Source organism: Homo sapiens, chromosome 11, assembly GCF_000001405.40.
Source record: "Homo sapiens chromosome 11, GRCh38.p14 Primary Assembly".
NCBI lineage: Eukaryota > Metazoa > Chordata > Mammalia > Primates > Hominidae > Homo > Homo sapiens.
This window is the reverse complement of record NC_000011.10, coordinates 116,566,365-116,567,444: the sequence shown is the minus strand read 5'-3', so window position 1 is coordinate 116,567,444 and position 1,080 is coordinate 116,566,365.

Below are 1,080 nucleotides of genomic sequence, written 5' to 3'. Positions count from 1 at the left end.
GCGGGGTTCTTCTCCTTCCCTCCCACCCCGGCTTCTGCGGACATCCTCTTTGTTCACAGACTTTTCTGCACCTCCACATTCACACTCATGTGATTCTCAAACAACCTTGGAGGCAGGGCAGGCTGGGACTTCAGACTATCAGGGGGCACACAGGATGTAGGGTGGGAGGGACTGCAGAGGGGAAAGTCAACTACCTCCTTTTACAGATAAAGAAACTTGGGGTGAAACTTGCTGTTTATGCAGAACAGGGGCCGCAGCTCAGTTTCGCAGTGCCCAGGGCAGTGCCCCCCTTCTGGTCCTCAGGGAGATGATTATGCATAGTGTTTTGCAGGGTGTCCGGGTGAGGAAACTGGGATTTGGAGAAGGGGCTCTCCCTTGTCCAGGCCTTTGGACTCCTGGTTTGGCGTTTTTGAGTGTTCCGTGTTTTCTTTATGGTTCTAGCCTATTTCAGGTTGAGTAGACTGTCCAGATGAGGCCATTGGTGTGTGTGTGTGTGTGTGTGTGTGTGTGTGTGTGTGTGTGTGTGTGTGTGCGCGCGTGCGCGCAGTGTTTTTAGGGTGGGGAAAGACAGGGGTTGTGGGGATGGATGGCAGGGAGGAATAACTGACTTGGCAGGAGGAGGTGGACGGTTAGGAAGGGCCTCATGGATCCTGCCATATGCTTGATCATGTGCCAGCTGCCCAGGCTTAGAAGATTCTCGTTCAGAACATATGGCCCTGAGCAGCCACATGGGTGCTGGTGTAACCTCTGTCCTGCCTTTTCTTAGCCCCCTTCAGCTCTAGAATCCAAGGAATGCTGGCATACAGGCCCATGAATCCCCCATCTCCCCACAAACCTGGTATCCTATCAACAGGAACCCCAGAGGGCTGAGAAAGGAAGATGGGTGACCCTATCTCTATGACCAATTGCTGACCTGCTTTGAGGTCCGTGGTGGGGTTGGGACTTGAAGCCAGCAACTGAGAGGTACTCCCCCTCCCACTGACCACAGTGAGGGGACATCTGTCCTACATCTGATGGCACTGTACTTTTCCCAGTGACTAACTCCTGACCCAGTCTCTTGGATTATCTTTAAGAAAATAT